At 46.1% G+C, this 16,677-nt stretch overlaps 1 protein-coding gene across 13 annotated transcripts in view, besides 3 other annotated features; it reads right to left on the bottom strand.

Moving 5' to 3' along the window:
- The window catches only part of PAX5 (paired box 5), a 201,000-nt gene that overhangs the window by 175,860 nt on the left and 8,463 nt on the right, over window positions 1–16,677 (bottom strand). For 10 of the 13 annotated variants that reach the window (NR_103999.2, NR_104000.2, NM_001280553.2 and 7 more), the window contains exons 2-3: window positions 11,508–11,673; window positions 5,869–6,066 (exon numbers count right to left, since the gene is read on the bottom strand). Coding sequence is in view for 11 of the 13 variants with exons in the window: in NM_001280553.2 (NP_001267482.1) it covers window positions 5,869–6,066; window positions 11,508–11,673 (364 nt within the window). In the remaining 2 variants the exon portion in view is untranslated. The remainder of the gene's footprint in view (window positions 1–5,868; window positions 6,067–11,507; window positions 11,674–16,677) is intronic. The other 3 variants (NM_001280551.2, NM_001280556.2, NM_001280555.2) reach the window with 2 other exon arrangements.
- Window positions 2,448–2,517: an enhancer, noted in NCBI's record as "active region_28370". NCBI's record gives its function as "activates an Ori minimal core promoter by ATAC-STARR-seq in GM12878 lymphoblastoid cells {active_cell/tissue: GM12878}" and the evidence as "EXISTENCE:reporter gene assay evidence [ECO:0000049][PMID:35858748]".
- Window positions 13,660–13,709: a silencer, noted in NCBI's record as "silent region_19899". NCBI's record gives its function as "represses an Ori minimal core promoter by ATAC-STARR-seq in GM12878 lymphoblastoid cells {active_cell/tissue: GM12878}" and the evidence as "EXISTENCE:reporter gene assay evidence [ECO:0000049][PMID:35858748]".
- Window positions 15,660–15,929: an enhancer, noted in NCBI's record as "active region_28371". NCBI's record gives its function as "activates an Ori minimal core promoter by ATAC-STARR-seq in GM12878 lymphoblastoid cells {active_cell/tissue: GM12878}" and the evidence as "EXISTENCE:reporter gene assay evidence [ECO:0000049][PMID:35858748]".

Raw genomic sequence — 16,677 nt, forward strand, 5'->3', positions numbered from 1 at the left:
ATTATGTTTTCCTCATTTTCTTTTAAAATAGTTATAAATATCACTGGGAAAGCATTATCAATTGTTATAAATCATTAAGAGGCTGCAGTAGCACAGTGTACAGGCTCTGGAACTAGACCACTAGAGTTTGAATCCCATCCCTCTTACAATTTACCAGCTACATGACCTTGGGTAAATTACTTAACCTCTCTATGCCTCAGTCTCTTCATCTGCAAATGGGACTAAGAATCATTTCTATCTCATAGGATTACTATTAGGATTAAATTAATGAATTACTTAAAACAGTGGTAGCTACATACTAGGTGCTCCTTAAATGTAAGATGTTATTTTCAGTGGTGTCTTTGTAAAGATTAATGACTAGCTTCCGTCTTAAAATATTCATATTTTTCACATTTGCTTTAAAAAGCACAAGGCGAGGGCGGTGGGGGAGTAAAGATGCTCAATGGGTGCAAAAAAATAGAAAGAATGAATAAGACCTAGTATTTGATAGCACAATGAGGATACTATAGTTAGTAATAATTTAACTGTACATTTAAAAATAACTAAAAGAGTGTAATTGGGTTGTTTGTAACACAAAGAATAAATGTTTGAGGGGATGCATACCCCATTTTTCATGGTGGGTTATTACTCATTGCATACCTGTACCAAAATATCTCATGTACTCATAAATATATATATATATGCCTACTATGCACCCATAAAAATTAAAAATAATAATAATAATAAAGCACAAGTGGCCCCCTTGGAAGCTGGGGAGGGGAAGGTAGCCACTCTCACACTGTTTTAAGAATGCATCAGGGTTGTCCTTTATAAAGGGGGATCTCAGAGTTATAGGCAAGCCTCTGAAGCTGCCCCCAGGGGTGAGAGATTTTGCTCATCTGCCTTTAGCAGTCACCAAGTAAAAACAAAGAGCATCAGCTTACACTGAGAAGAAACTGTAGTGGGAAGAACAAGACTGTAATTGAATCATAACAACTCTAAACAAATTTTAAATTTTAAATATGACAGGCTGTCAAGACTCATCCAATAAGAACACACTCAGGACCTTTTCTAAGCCAGGGACAGTTGGGCTGAGTTGGCAGTCACACCAAATTGCCCGTCCCTTACCTGCTGAGCGTGAGCAGGACCCTGGCTGCCGTACTGCAGAGCACACTAGACGTTCCAACAGAGAAAGGAGCTCAGCATCAAACTCTTCCTATGAATAAGGAAACTAAAACCCAAGATGCTCAAATGACTTGCCCAGAATTGCACAGCGAGTCAGCCCAGACTCCCAGCCCCCATGCCCCAGCACTTTACTTTAAGCCACATTCAAAGGAAGCGCGGTCCCTCTGCTAAATACTTCCTATGTGAGGCATAAAAGCTATTTGGATTTCAAACCCACTTAGAATTTGAGGTTTAAAACTCTGAGGGACTTTGTGGCATTTAAGGATCCCATGGAAACATCACTCTTCCTTCTTTGAAAGGCTAGGCTTCTCACCATCATCCCACGCCCCCCGCCCCACCACCAGTCCTCACAAAATTACAGTGAAAGAGAAAATCATGGTGCCTTGAAAAAGGAAACAGGAAGATAAGGCTGAAGAAACACCCACATCTATGGCACTGATCAAACTGCCATCAGTGCAGTAAGAAGCTTGGGCCATCAGCTATGCCGAGAATTCAAAACCCAGGGGTCCAACTGTGCCAAGCTGCAAGGGGCCCCACAGGTGGCACCCAGGCCTGTGACTGTTGTGGAGAAGAAAGAGGACACAGATAGAGGTCGATGTGAGTGGATCACTTGAGTCCAGGAGTTCGAGACCACCCTGGGCAACACGATGAAACCCTATCTCTACAAAAAATGCAAAAAATTAGCCAGGCATGGTGGTGGCACCTGTAGTCCTAGCTACTTGGGAAGCTGAGGTGGGAAGATCACCCGAGCCTGGGAGATCAAGGTTGCAGTGAACCATGATTGTGCCTCTGCACTCCAGCCTGGGTGACAGAGTGAGACCCTGTCTCAAAAAAACAAAAAAAAAAAAAAAAAAAGAAAGAGGAAATGGATAAACAATCTCAGAAGGCCTGCTACCAAAATTAGAATTAAGAGCAGAACTAACAAAACATCTTCCCCAGGGCCACCTCCAGCCCGGGACAAGTTTTGTTAGCCTGCACAGTATATTTGTTTTTATTTGACTTAGTTGCTAATATTTTTAAGTTGGGAGATTTTTCATAAATATCTGAATTCTAGCTTCTCTTGAAAAATCAGAACACCCAACAATACTGGCCTCACGTTCTCACATGACCCAACCAGTTGGTACTAAATAGAGCTGCCCCTCTAAGCTGGGAGTGCCACTTGTACTCCCCACCCCTTGGCCACGGTGCTGGAATAGAAGAAGGAAGACCCCATTCAACCCACCGTTTGGGTCAGCTTTGGGATGGCCACCTCCAATGGACACTCAGACTGGATCCAGCGATCCCTGCAGGTTGTGCAGCCTCCCAGCACGTTTGTCCATAAGAAGTCAAATGAACAAGGTGATCTGTGTCCCAGGAAATCCCCCACAAGCCTAACAGAACTAGTTCAGTGATGCTTAACCCCTTGTCAGTCATGGTTTCCTAGGCTGGTCCCCTGGAAGGTAACAGGAAGTCACATACTCCTAGGGGTGAACCGTGGAGATGCCCCTGTGGCTATAAGAATAGCCACAAATCCAGCCATCACTCCCTCCCCAGCTGTTTGAAATCAGAAAGGGTGAAAAGTTGCCTCCAAGGGAGGCAAGGGCTGGGAGAGATGTGGACCCTCTTACACAGTGTCATTTGCAAGGCAGGCATTTAGAAGCTGCATTCATCTGAATGCAGTGGGAGCTTTGCCTTCATCTGAAAAATAAAACTGTATGCTGGGATGGCTCTGGCTTTGGGGGTTTAGGGGTGAGGAAGGCAGCCGCATGAGATTGTCCTACACTTAGTGAGCTGTCACTGAAGAGAGCAGGAAGGAGCCAGAGAATACTCCCAAAAAGGAGCCCCCAGTGAAGAGCACTGGAGAAGGCTAAGGATGAGAGAGGGCAGGCAGCCAGGCAGCAGAACGGGCAGCCCGCGAGGATCTGAAATGCAGAAGAAAATACTTGTCCTCCCTCTTGTCTCTCATCTCACAGATCCTCAGTTCTGTCACTCGCAGAGTCCTACAGGGCAGTGGTGGAAAGAAACTAGCCCTCCTTTTACCGTTGGGAAACCTGGGTTCTACCCCCATGTCTATCTCCAAGTCACTGTTCCTCTGCACTCTCCATCTTGGCCTCTGTTGCTACAACTGCCACAGGATAGAGTCAAGCCTTAAGGACTATAGGAGACCACAGACATGAAAGCACCTTAGAGGCATGGCCTGCCTGGCCATGGCTTTGGACTGGACACTCAGGACGCCCCTGAGGCTAGCCATGGCCCTACAGACAGCAGTTAGAAATTCCCCACAGCACAGGTCCAGGCAGAAAACATCAGCGGGCCCGTGATCTCTCTTGACCACACATCCCATGCCCCTTCACAGTCTTTGCCACATCTGTAACCACTGCTCTATTTGCCTCATACATTTCTTTCACATCACTTCAATTTTGACTTAAATAAATTTATTTTATAAGGCAATTGTAGTTCCCTACTGTAAGTGGGTAGGTGGGAGTGTTGAGGGGGAGTTCACAAACTCACTGGTTTGGTGTGTTACTTACGTTTTTCTAACATACATTAAAATAAATGTATTAGAAAACAATGTGCACCCTTGCATCTTTGCATTATAGAGGATGTAAACCGATGCTCTGTAAATAAGTTATGCTCATCCTGCAAGGCATTTTTAATTGAAATTAGTTGCCTCTGTTAAAAAAATATATAGATTAAGCTAGGTGTGATGGCTCACACCTGTAATTCCAGCACTTTGGGAGGCTGAGGTAGGAGGATTGCTTGAGCCCAGGAGTTCGATACCAGCCTGGGCAACATAGGGAGACCCCCATCTCTACATAAAAAAAAAATTAATTTAAATATAGAGATTTCACATACAGAAATATCCATGCATACATCTACACAAGCCCCAGCTTCTGCCTTCTCTTGAAGAATGCAAAAAATCTGGCAAACACCAGACCCATGGTCCTGGCAGCATTCGGCTGGAGCTAAGAAGCACTGCCCCTTTAATCGGACTTGTGCTGCCTAGCTTGCCAGGGACCCAACCTCTCCCCATCGTCTTTTGCCTGGCCTGCTTCCCTCATTACCTTATCTGCCTGGCCCCATGTAAGGCATTAGATTTTGTGACCCCCATGGACTACCTAAGGTTATCTTGCGAACCCCCAATTATATGTGTACTCTACGTTGGGAAACCTGTGGGTCCCCAAAGCCTGACCAGGGGTTTGGCTGATGTTCCTCTGCAGAGCAGGCCAGCTGCCTGTCATGTTGTTTTGTGTCGTGGAAATCCCGCAAAGAGCCAGAAGTAAGGGGCTCATAAAACACAATGGAGCCTCTTATAATCCATAAAAAGAACAGGAGTTATCCCCTCCTCCCCAAAACCTACCATCATCATTGCTATCCCCTCAGCAATTTTGTCCAGGTGCATCAGGCTTCTAAGTGCATGTCAGAACCCCACCCTGGACAAAGAGCCCCTCTGGAACAGACCAAGAAACTGTGTGCCTGATTCTCCTCTATCTCCCCTGTACCATGCATGATGTCAGGGCCTCTGTCAAGGTTTGCCAAGAGAAGAAAAACAGGCTAACAATTTACAAAATAGCAGGACTCAAAATGTGAACACATGCACTCCCACAGCGATCTGTGCATTTGAATCATCACAGAAGGATCCACTATCAGGACAAGAGGCTCTCATTCTAGTCTGACCGACCACCTCATTCTGCCAGGAGTGAGGGTCTCCTACGCCCACACAAGCTCTGCACTGATGATGGTAGGGTGTGATTTGGAGAAATGGAAACTGTCCAAGTTTTCAGGCTGCTCCCTTCTCTTTTCTCTGCAGAGTTTAGAGAACCATCATTTCTGTTCATCTCTGAACTTCATCCCTGACTCTTTGGGTTTAAATGGAGTTGAAATTTCATCATCTACAACAGAAAACTTTCTTCCATACATTTATTTTTAAAGCTCTGAGAGCGCCCTTCCATGTGTCTTGGATCAGACTGGAAAGGAAAGGGAGCTGTGTGGCTGCCAGGAAGATCCTGTGCATGACTCCCAGGGTGTTTCTCTGGTTCTTTCTCTCCCTGTGTGAGATTCCATGTATGAGTTGGGGAGAGGGCAACTCCTTTGCTCCAGAGCATCTTAGCCTCCTGGACAACACCTCTGGAGTTGAAGATGCACATCAGAACCACTGGGGTTCTGGGCTCTCAGAGAGAGGAAGAGCTTTGTCAAGGTCCCACTTTGAGCTTGTGGCAGAGCTGGAACAAGGAGCCAAGTCTCCCAACTCCAAGTCAGGTTTATGTTCCTCTCACTCACTGGCTCAAGCTCTGCCCAAACTGGAGGAAGGATTTTCTTCCTGGGAATCTTTGAGATGGGCCAGTGCTAAGACCTTGAGCCTAGGTTTGCAGGGACAGCGACATTTGTGAAGATCTAGTCAGGACAATTCACTGTGAAGTGTTCCACACATATAGGTGGGTGGTGAAGGGAGGGATGGAAATAACTCTGGGCTCAGAAGAAACTCGAGCGGCCAGGGTGTTGGCATGCTCCCCTCTCCCTGGGCCTAGGACTCCTACCTGCTTTGGAAAGAAGAGAAGGGTAACAGAGACCGAGCAGGCCCCATTAGCATCCCTCCTGTTCAGTAACCCCTAAGGGGCCTTGGTGAAAAAAGAGACCAGATCTTCAGGAAAGGCACATGCAGAGCCTCCAGGATGCCCTGCCATCCCTCCAAATCCCCAACCCCCACAGGCACGAGCCCCTCACCTGTTGATGGAACTGACGCTAGGCACGGTGTCATTGTCACACACCCGCTCTGCCAGCAGCCGGTCCCTGATCTCCCAGGCAAACATGGTGGGATTTTGGCGTTTATATTCAGCGATTTTTTCCACCACTTTGGGTGTGGCGACCTTTGGTTTGGATCCTCCAATTACCCCAGGCTTGATGCTTCCTGTCTCATAATACCTAGGACCCAAAGAGAAAGAAGCTTAGCCATGAGGAACCAGTAAAGTGGATATTGGCAACAAAATAACGGGCTACTCTGGCCAGGAAACGTCCGGATCTGCACGTTCCAATACAGTAGCCACCAGCCAGATGCGGCTTTTGAACATTTGAAATATGGCTAGTCTGAATCAAAATGTGCTGTAAATATAAAATACACACCAAATTTTTAAAACTTAGTACCAAAAGAAGTAAAATATCTCAATAATTTTGATATTAGTTGTATGTTGAAATAACAATTTTTATATATTGAGTTAAAATATATAATTAAAATATAGTACCTCTTTTTTTTAACTTTTCTTAATGTGCTGCTGGAAAATTTTAAATTGCATACACAGCTCTCATAGTATTTCTTTTTTTTTTTTTCAGACGGAGTTTCGCTCTTGTTGCCCAGGCTGGAATGCAATGGCGTGATCTTGGCTCACTGCAACCTCCGCCTCCTGGGTTCAAGTGATTCTCCTGCCTCAGCCTCCCGAGTAGCTGGGATTACAGGCATGTGCCACCATGCCCAGCTAATTTTGTATTTTTAGTAGAGACGGGGGTTTCACCATGTTAGTCAGGCTGGTCTCGAACTCCCGACCTCAGGTTATCCGCCTGCCTCGGCCTCCCAAAGTGCTGGGATTACAGGCATGAGCCACCACGCCCGGCCAGTCTCTCATTGTATTTCTATTGGACAGCACTGGCTAAGCATTAACAAAATTCTTTCACATTCATCTACCATTTTATAGTTTACAGAAAACTTTCGAGTCAGTTTTCCCATTTTATCTCCAACAGTTCTAAAGCACATAAATTGCTTTGAATTAATGAATGAGTGAATGAACAAATAAATGAATAGGTCCTGATCTACAGGTATAAAGCAGAGATTCATCAAGGTTAAACAGTTTTCCTAGGGTCACACAAGACCAAATGGGCAAGCTAGGGCTGTTGCCCACCCAGCCTCTTGAACTACAATTTCCCCAATAAGGTAGCTTACACTTTTGATTTGCCAGCTCTCCCAAGCCCTAGCACAATCTCCAGCATTGTATGAAACTGTCCCCTGAAATGCAACTTATTTTTCTGTAAGAGAAAAATAATAATCCTGGTGTAAAATTAAAAGGAATGTTGAATTGCAGAATTATCTGAAAATATCTGTTGTAAGTCAAAACTCAAGCAATCGGAAAAACCAACCACAAGTCACGGCAACTCTTCCAGGGACCTCCCCTGAGGTAAATGGCTGTTTCTAAGGACATTTCCATGCTATCAGCATTTGCTCATTAAGGAAAATAGGATGTCAGGGTTTTACAGTAAAACCAAGACCAAGAAGAAGAGTGTCATGAAACATCATTTCAGGGGGGGATAATTGACATAATTTCTTTTCTGAATCTGAGACATCACCAGACGTCTCTCTCAATATTTACAGAAGAATTCTTGATTTCCTTTTCCAAGGAAATTATCTTGCAGTTGAATCTGTTTTAAAAAACCAAAAAGACATTTTTTAAATGACTAATAATTTTGAAACCTAACAAGAGTTGATGATAGGTAAGGGAACGAGGTGATTCTGAGATGGGTAGAAAATGTTACCCAAGATGACTGGTCACATTTACAGAGATGCTGAAATTCTCAGCCTGGGTATGTTTGGGTAAGGCCAAGTTAGTGAATATCCTGAAAGAGATGAAATACTTTGGAAGCAGTGATGTGAAAGTGAAATGTCTGTTTTTCATTGAAAAGAGTGAGTCATTTACAAATTTTGACCATAAGGTAAAAACTCAACCTATCTTCCCTCTTTCTAAAAAATTGCTTTCAGCAATTTTTCTGTAATTGCCAAAAAATTATTACTCACAAACAACTTTTTAACAATATCCCAAAAAAACCAGATGGCTAGAAAAGCACCCTAAGTCAAGGCACACAGCAATCTCTGCAGTCTCCAATTGTCCTGTCAATTTTATAATGTAAAGCCAATTTTTACTATAATACAACTCACTATAATTCAGCCACAGCACCCTAAAGTTTACAGAGCTCTTCCTCGAATTATCTTGATCCTCACACTAACCCTGCAAGGCCACAGGGATTTATAGAAGGAAAAATAAATGATTGGAAGACTAAGTGACTTGCCCAACTCCCTTCTGTAGTTAGGGACAGCCCCAGCTTTCAAACCTGACTCTAAATTCAGTGCTCTTCCCGCTACAGCAAGCTGCTGCTTTGCTTATAAAATTTTAAATAATAATAAGAATAATGACCCCTTGCAATTGCAGAGAACTTTACTATTTACCAGGCCAGGCATTTTCACATGCATTTTTCATTCATTCACTCACTCAATTGATAGTCACCGAGTGTCTGTTAGGACAGGCAGAATCTCAGGGAAGGGGTTACAGACATTTAGACAACCCTGTCCTGGATACTCAAAATATGTTAGTTGAATGGGACTGCAACATTCACATAGCAACTCTGGGAGGGTGGCAAGCTGAAGGTCCCCCCCAGCCTGGCCCCCACTTACATAGCTGGCGGGCGGCAGCACGCAGGGCTACCTGCCCATCCCACCTGAGCAGTGCCAACTGTGGAAGACTGCGGCCTTGACATGAGAGGTCTCTGTCGTCCTTTTGACTGACACATGGGCCAGGCACTTAGAAGGCAACCCTGACACTCCGAAAACCCCAACTCGAAACTGTGTCAAATGAGGATTCAGATTTAATAACTATCCTTTCATCTCAGCAAAACAGCCGTGCAGCCCCTTGGCTTACAGACAAAAGACCAACGGCAGCCACCAACACACAATGTCCTTCGGTGCAAAGAGCATTAGTTTAGTAATCAAGAGGTGTAGGTGGCTCTGATGCTAACTCTCTGTGTGATCTTGGCCAACTCACTTAGCCTCTCTAGGCCTCAATTTTCCCATTCATACAATAGGGGGAGAATGTCTTCCCTGCTTGTTTTGTGGGGCTGTTTTGAAGACAGAAATACAGACGGTTGAGAATAAGCTTTGCAAAACATAAAATAAAGAGCACGTGCGGAGGATTAAAATCCCTAGTGTTTCTTCTTACTGTGTAACATACTACCCAATACCAATGACCTGAACCTCCCAACCAGGCTCCAGTGAAAAAAGACAGCAGCCAGGCCCTGGGTGGATTTAACTCAGCCTCAGATGCCACCAAGCTGTGCGTCTCTAGCCCCTCCGAAGCCTTGAGCTCTGTAGACTGAATGCCCACACTCCTGGCAGACCGCCCACCTTCCTGAGATGACAGGGGTCCCTGTGTGCCCCAGGGACTTTGCCTGCCTTGCCACACACTCTGGAAACCATAGCCACCACACATCGTACTCTCCCTACAATCTGTCACCTCTTGTGTGCCCATCAAATTCTTCAGTGACCAAAAAAAAAAAAAAAAAATCTGTGGATTGAACGGCCCCAGTTCAGAAATTCCCAGTTACACTGTTTTAGGGCTGAACTTGTTTCTTAAAAGGCAGTTCTAATTAGAGTGACATTTTGTCCACTGTGGTTCTTAGTTATGAAAATAATGAGCTATGAAATTCCAATTTATTGTTGACAACTTAAACGGTCAGGCACCGGAGCGGCGCGTAACTTCCGAGTGCCACTCTACCTAGTGACAAATCTATTCCGGGTGCCGGCTGGTCTCGGAAGCATCCCTGTCCCCCTCAATCTCCATGGGAGATTTGGAGGCTCCAGAGCACCAGAACATGAGGACCACATGTTTGGATGTCCCCTCTGAAAAAGGCTCAGTATCTTGCCCTGGGATTTCAAACAGCGAGCAAAATGTCGGCTCAGCAAAGATGTCTCAGCAAAAACAAAGAAAGGGCCTTCTTTCTCTCTCCCTCTCTCTCGGTACAATGAAGAGGCTCCACAAAAAGATATCTAGGAGCCTTTTGGTTCTAGAAGTCTGATGCTGAGATAGTCTAAAGTATTGTGCTCTCTCTCTCTTTCTCCTGTCTTGTCATTTATCTATCTCTTTCTATTTCTCTGCCTTTTTAAAATCACTCTCTTTTCTCTTTGTCTTCTTTTTCTCTTTTTCTTTTCTCTATCTCTCTGTCTTCGACTTTTCTTCTCTCGCTCCCATCCGCCTGCCTAAAACAACCACCTAACAAGAAAACCATGTTAATGTCCTGCAATCACCCCCTATCTCTGGGGTTCATTTGCTGAGTGCTAAACAGGAGTGAAGCCCACAGCCCCCACAGCTCAGGTAACCTGCACTGGGCTGGAGGATGCGGAATGAACCCTGGGATCAAGGTCCCCAAAGGAGCTGCCAGACCCCTGGTCCTAAAATTTCTTCCCTTGGCCTCAAACAAGCAGCCTCCCCAAGGTTATTAGAAGCTGTTGCTCCTTCCATCTGAGAGAATTTCTTGAATTCCAGCAGATGAAAGGGAAGGAGCCAGGAGAAAGTCAGAATGTCACTGACATACTTCAAAATATTTACCTCCTATTCAGGTGTCTGTGCTCAAACCATAATGCAAACTACAGGACAAAGGTTGTTTTCTGACCCGGGAAAAGAAATAGTGAGAAAGCACTGAACAGCTAAACCCAAGAAAGCTCCTGCCTGCCAGGGCAGACCTAAAACAAGATCACATGCCCAGAAACAAACCTGTGGCTTTGTTTTGGGGCTATGGTGAGACCCAGATGGTCTAGGGGTCCTTTAGGCGTCATTGCAACCCGGGTACTGCCTGGCTAGATAAACCTGTGTCAGTCACTTTGCCTGTCTAGGTTTGTTTTCTCATCTTAAAACGTGCTTCATTGGATCATGCGGAGGCTACTGAGAAAATAAACGGGAGTGCTAAAAGGCTGCACGGTCCTATGGGAGAAGCCTCATTGTTAGTATTTTGTTTGCAGCAAATCGCCAGGTCAAGTGGCAACTTTCAAATGTCATATTTGAAAGTTGGTGTTTGGGTTTTTTTTTTTTCCTCTTCTCTAATTTAATATATACTTTGGATGCTTGTCACTGCGATGGAAATAAAAACATAGAGAAGGAAAATACTGCAGCCCAACATAACAAGGTTGATAATAACCCAAAACTGAAAATAACAGCTGACTTTTAAAAGTGGAATATGCTTCCAAAAACATTAAAATGAAACATTGAACTCTGGTTATGTGATATTAAGTCCTACGCGGGGACCCAGGCTCACCTAGGATATATAAGGGAAATTCCCAAGAACGTCTTACTCTTGAGTTCTTTAGAACAATTCACCAGGCTTTCAGAAAACATGTCTTCCCTCCTGACTAAGTCACCCTATTCCACATGTCACTAGAGACAGGGGTTTCCAAGGGCTACTTGGAATTGGGGCTTTGCAGACTTTAAAGTGCTCTGCGTGTGAAACAAAATGCCACCATGATTCTCACTATGATACTGTCATATTGGACAGCTGCTGGGTCATGTTTTAGGTCTTTATTTGAAAGATCAAGGGAAGCCTCGAGCTACTGCCTTTACCTGCCAAGAATTTTGCTGACACAACCATGGCTGACCCGAAGCTGCCTGGAGATGTCGCAGGGCCTGACACCTTGATGAGCAAGTTCCACTATCCTCTGGCGGACTACATCCGGGAGTGGCCGTCCATTCACAAAAACCCCCCCAAGCTGATTCACTCCTCCATGTCCTGAAACAGATCAGAAACAAAAGGAAAGGGAAAGGGTAGTTAGAACCAGTCACATAGGAGAAGCACCGCTGTGAGGACCCAGAGCCCCTCTGATCACAAATGGCCGGCAGGCTGGATGTCTCGCGCCTGGAGTCCAATCGTGCAAACTACACGAAGTCCCCAGATTGCTTTTTAAAATTAATCTTAGCCTTGGTCCATCTGCAGCCAGTCTGTTGAGCTATTGACAGCAAACATCCCCATACTATTATTAGCATTTTCCCCGTAATTTTTCTAAACAATGAAATGTGTGAAGATCTCAATGTAAACGAAATGGGCACAACTTATTATGTGATGCTGAGGTCTAAGGAAGATCCTGGGGAGAAAATATGCATTAAAATACATCATATTTAAAGAGGAAAAAAATAAAACTCGTTTCCTTTTAACAAATGTCTTTAAAAGTGAAAAGAACAACTCCAATAAACTTATATCTCAGGGAATTTTGTTTTTAATCAGCAATCTAATTCAAGGGCTAAGGAATTTTTTAAAAATTTAACAGCACCTGCAGAGTACTGAGAAAAAAAAACAACCATTGCCTTGTTTAAAACCCTCCCTTTAAGAAGGTGAGGTTGACATGCAGACTTGACCACTGTACCTTCTCAAAGCACACAAAAGAAATGGGTCATAGCATCTTCTACACACAGCACATTCCACTCCACTGCACGGGGATTTGTTATAAAGGAGTTTCCCTGGAATTTTTACAATGTTTTGCAATTGACATATAGCTTTATTTTGGTCCAGGGAAAATAAAGAAACCTACAAAAGCCTCTGGATCCCAGGTTTTACAAGGGTCCTGGGATAGATTTTAAGTAAAAGGAGCCCGAGAAAGTGCCTCCTCCACCCTTCTCTTACATCAAGGTCCATCTGGAAGGACACAAGGACTCAAGTAAATGAAGAGCCAAACCAGTAAACACAGAGTGATCCGATGCAGCAACATCATTGACCTTATAGCTGTTAATTAGTCACTCACTGACGTTGCTGAAGACTGGAGCCCAAAGCCAAGTCAAAGCATTTATTGATGTTGCTGGCAGCTCAGAGGCAAAGGAAGGGGAAACTCCTCCTGAACCAAGACTGGACTAGGACTGGACCGTACAAGGGAAAGACCTCAAAGGTCTCACACACATATATACTCAACTCTAAAATATGAAATAGCCACCTCATCTCAGCTATTTCTCCCCAGTACTAAACTACAACCCAGGTTCATGAACCTCATCTGAAATAAAGGGAGCAAAAACCCCCATAATATAATGTATTTCCTAAAAACTGTCCAAGCAATCCACTCAAGTTTCCCATGAATATTTCCCAAAAACGTCCAGGCTCAGGCTTATTTCAAGGAAAAACACAATTTTATAGATAACTGAAGTACTTAGTTGCAGTTCTAAGCTGGATTTCTGATTTTCAAAATGATCTTTATTCAGTTTTGATTGTTCTAAAAGACATAAGAAAAAGGAAAACCATTCCAAATAGGATTTTGCAGTTAGAAACATAATTGCATAGTTTTTCTAAAACAGAAAGACTGCAGCCACCCTGGCCAAGAGCCTTCAGAAGGCTTTGTTCTGGGGCTGGGAACACCTATTTAAAAAGGTTGTACAGATCTTTCAAGAGCAGGCTGGATTTAAGTAAAAGAAAATAAATTCAAAATTGGTATAAGCTCATCTGGGAAAACAAAGGGCAGGCAAAGGAAGCTTAAACACCCAGCACACTTTTGATATGACCTGGGAGTCCAGGTATTATGGTCCATCTGCAATAGCCTGTTCTCTATGTCACTGACAATTGAGACTTTCTGCCCAAAACACAGTGGCAACCTTCAGAGGACTTAAATTCCAAAAGCAGTCCTGCAGGACATTTATGAGCACTGGGGGCTGTTTTGTATCATGGGAAAACCCTAAAGGTCTCCTAGAGCCAGGTCTCTCAAGGTGAGAGCAGGTCCCCAAACCCTCTACCCTTGACCACATAGGCTGAGATAGTAATGCTCTTTCACAATCTCATCTATAGGTCCACAGCTGACAACAGACTTGGGGTGACCTGGGAGCCTGTTACCTTCCTCAACTTCCTTGAAAGGTCCCCAAGACCCCTTGGCCTTCTCCACCATCACAATCCTACCCAATAGAGCTCTTAGAGGGTGGTGGTGAGAAGGTTTACAACTATGGTGTGAGGAAGGTCACTTACTCTGGAATTGGTAAGAAGTGAAGTCCAAAGTCTGAATGAGGCGAGGCAGGACAGGGAAAGAAAAGAGGAAAAAAGAGGTGTGTTAAGAGAAGTGTAAAGAGTGGGAACTGAATGAGACAGACAACCAGGAGAGAGAGAGCCTGGAAAGGAAGCAGCAGGTTAGGCAGGCAGAGGAGAGGGAAAAGGAATGGAGAAGCTAGAATAGGCCAAGAAAAGAAAGACGAAGGTGGCACACAACGGGAGGCAATAAGAAGAGAAAATGGAGGAAGCCCAGGAAGGGGCTTCTGGAGGACAGGGGACTTCTCTAGACAGAGGACCTTTGTTTTCTGGGGTGCCAGCTCTGGCCCTGCATCTTCTTGGAGAACCCAAGTCCCAGCCTGTACTTCCTATGGACTCCAGTTAGGTGAGGACTCATCCCGTGAAAGGGGGACTGACACAGAGACAGAGGCAAACAAATCAGGTGAAGACCAGGAAACAGACCCACAGATACAAGAAAAAGACAGACCACAGGACAGGGCAGACTGGGCAGTGTTTGGAGGGGAGTGAGGAGAGAAAGACTGAATTGCAGAGGCCCCTGAGGCCTTTGTGACTCTGGTATGGAAAGGGCTGGCCTCCACAGATGCTCCTCAGGCCCTGATAAGGTCATGCTACCCACCACAGGCCCTCCCAATACCCCCAAAGACCATGGCTGAGCATAGGATTTTGGGGAAAGGGACTTTGCTGACTCAGCCACAGATTGAGCTCCAGGACCCCCACAAGATCATTAAAATTTTTCCTAGATGCACCAGAAAGAATGAAGGGGTACACAGACAGGCAAACAGGGGCACAGGGAAAGGGCAGGGAAGAAGTCTCCCTAATGGTATTGATACATGTGGAGAGTCAGGCAGTAGACATATACATGGTTAGACTAGACAGAGAGAGAGCTTTGCATATGTGTATACCCACTGCCCTCTCTCTGGAATCTGAGTCCCTCCCTCTCCCCTTCTGTGAACCCTCTGAAGCTTCATTTTAATGCCTTTGTCAGATGGTCAGGGAGACCCAAGAACCAGCTCCAGCTGTGCCAATGTGAACTTCTTGAGTCAGTCCTTTTGTCTCTCTGACCTCAATATCATATTCTGCAAAATGGGTGAAGCTGAAGGTTTAGGCCACCGTCAGGTAGGACCCTGGCTATGAGTGTTTTATAACTGGTAAAGATACCTAGGGGAACCGCTCAGGAAGAGAGCAGGAGGTTATCGTGCTGATGAAAATGATGAGCCTGGAATAGTGGGTGGGGACTCCTCCAAACTCAGAAGCCCATTTCCTGGAAGTCCCTGCTCCTCTCCAAAGAAGCTATCCGGCTCTGAAGCAGTGGTGGGGGGAAGCAGTGGTAGGGGGACGGAGGCAGGGAGCGGTAACAGGAAGAAGAAACTGACTGGGCCAGGAGGAAGGTGACGAAGTGGGACTTGATCTGAGCCTCTACTACCTCAGCCACCTTCCAGGATCTACTGTACCCCCCACTCCCCATTGCTAGCAAGTTGGGGCCCCAGAGCAGGCCTACATTGTGCAAGAAAACAGCTTTGGGCCTCAGAACCGAGAGTGCTTCCAGAGAAGCCAAGGTCTTGCACCTGCTCTGGAAGCTAGACTGGCTGGGGCCCAGCCCCCACTGTGCTGCCAGGGAGATTGAAAATGGGAGGGAGCACTTCCCACGGAGGGGGCGATTGAAGGCCGGACAAGGAGGCACAGACATTAGCGGTTGGCTAACCTGCACCTGAAAGAAGCCGCCTTCTCCACACTGATGCTCAGCCGAGAGACCACCAGGTCTGATGCTATCTCCCCAAGGGCTAGGGCACAACCTCTGGGCCACCGAGCGCTGGGCGGAAGGACACAGTGAGGGCCTGTGGATTTCCACCAGTGAGGAGAGAAGTGCAGGGGCTGGTGCTCCCCATCTGTCCCCACAGTTGCTCCTTGGCTGAGCCAAGGGCTTGCTCACCTCTCAGAGCATTGCCCTAACTGGTTTGTTTTGGGCTTACATTGCAAGATCAGGTCCTCCCCAGAGCCAGGCTGGAGTCCGAGGCAGAAAAGGCTGTGGAGGGCACTGGGGTCACCACAGACTGGAAACCGGTTGGGCGCAGGCCCCAAACCTTGAGGAATCGTTTGGGCTGGGACCAGAACAGGGGGCTCCTCTGCACAGAGCTCCCCACCGCTTTGGTGGATTACTTCAGACTCAGAAAATTGACACAAAGAGAAACTGACCTGCCCGCAGCCAGCCCTGGCTGCCTACACAAGCTTTCCCCTGCTTGCCAGGCCACTCAGCACTGCGTGGCAGACACGGACATGCTCGCCCCGGGAAGCTCACCTTCACTCCAGCCGGGTCTCTGCTGCCTTTGTTAAATAGGGGACCTGCGGCTAGGAAAGCTGGATCCCAGGCTGTTGGGATGGGGGGGAGCGGGGTGGGAGGACCAGGCATGGGGACGGCTCCTAGCCCGGGAGCAACTCCCTGACCTGAAGCCCGCAGAGACCCCGAGCGGCACCCGAGCCGAGGCTGCCGAAGCCTGTCACCTTCCTCCAGCCTGGCTCTGCAGCAAACAGAAAGGAAACGCGATTCGTTCCACTTGGAATTTCCTTGAAATCTCCGAATCTAATCCGGCGTTAACTCACCGTGAGAGGAGCGCTCATCTCACAGGAGGCTGTGGTAATGGGTGAATTGGCAGGATCCCTGCGGGCCAGGCAGCCAGGCCGGCCTTGCCCTCGCCCTAAATGACCCTTCCCGTCTCCTACACACGCTGCGTCTTTCAGAGGCGGGGGTGCCTGCGTGGTAAC

The sequence above is a fragment of the Homo sapiens genome, chromosome 9 (assembly GCF_000001405.40).
Source record: "Homo sapiens chromosome 9, GRCh38.p14 Primary Assembly".
Lineage (NCBI taxonomy): Eukaryota > Metazoa > Chordata > Mammalia > Primates > Hominidae > Homo > Homo sapiens.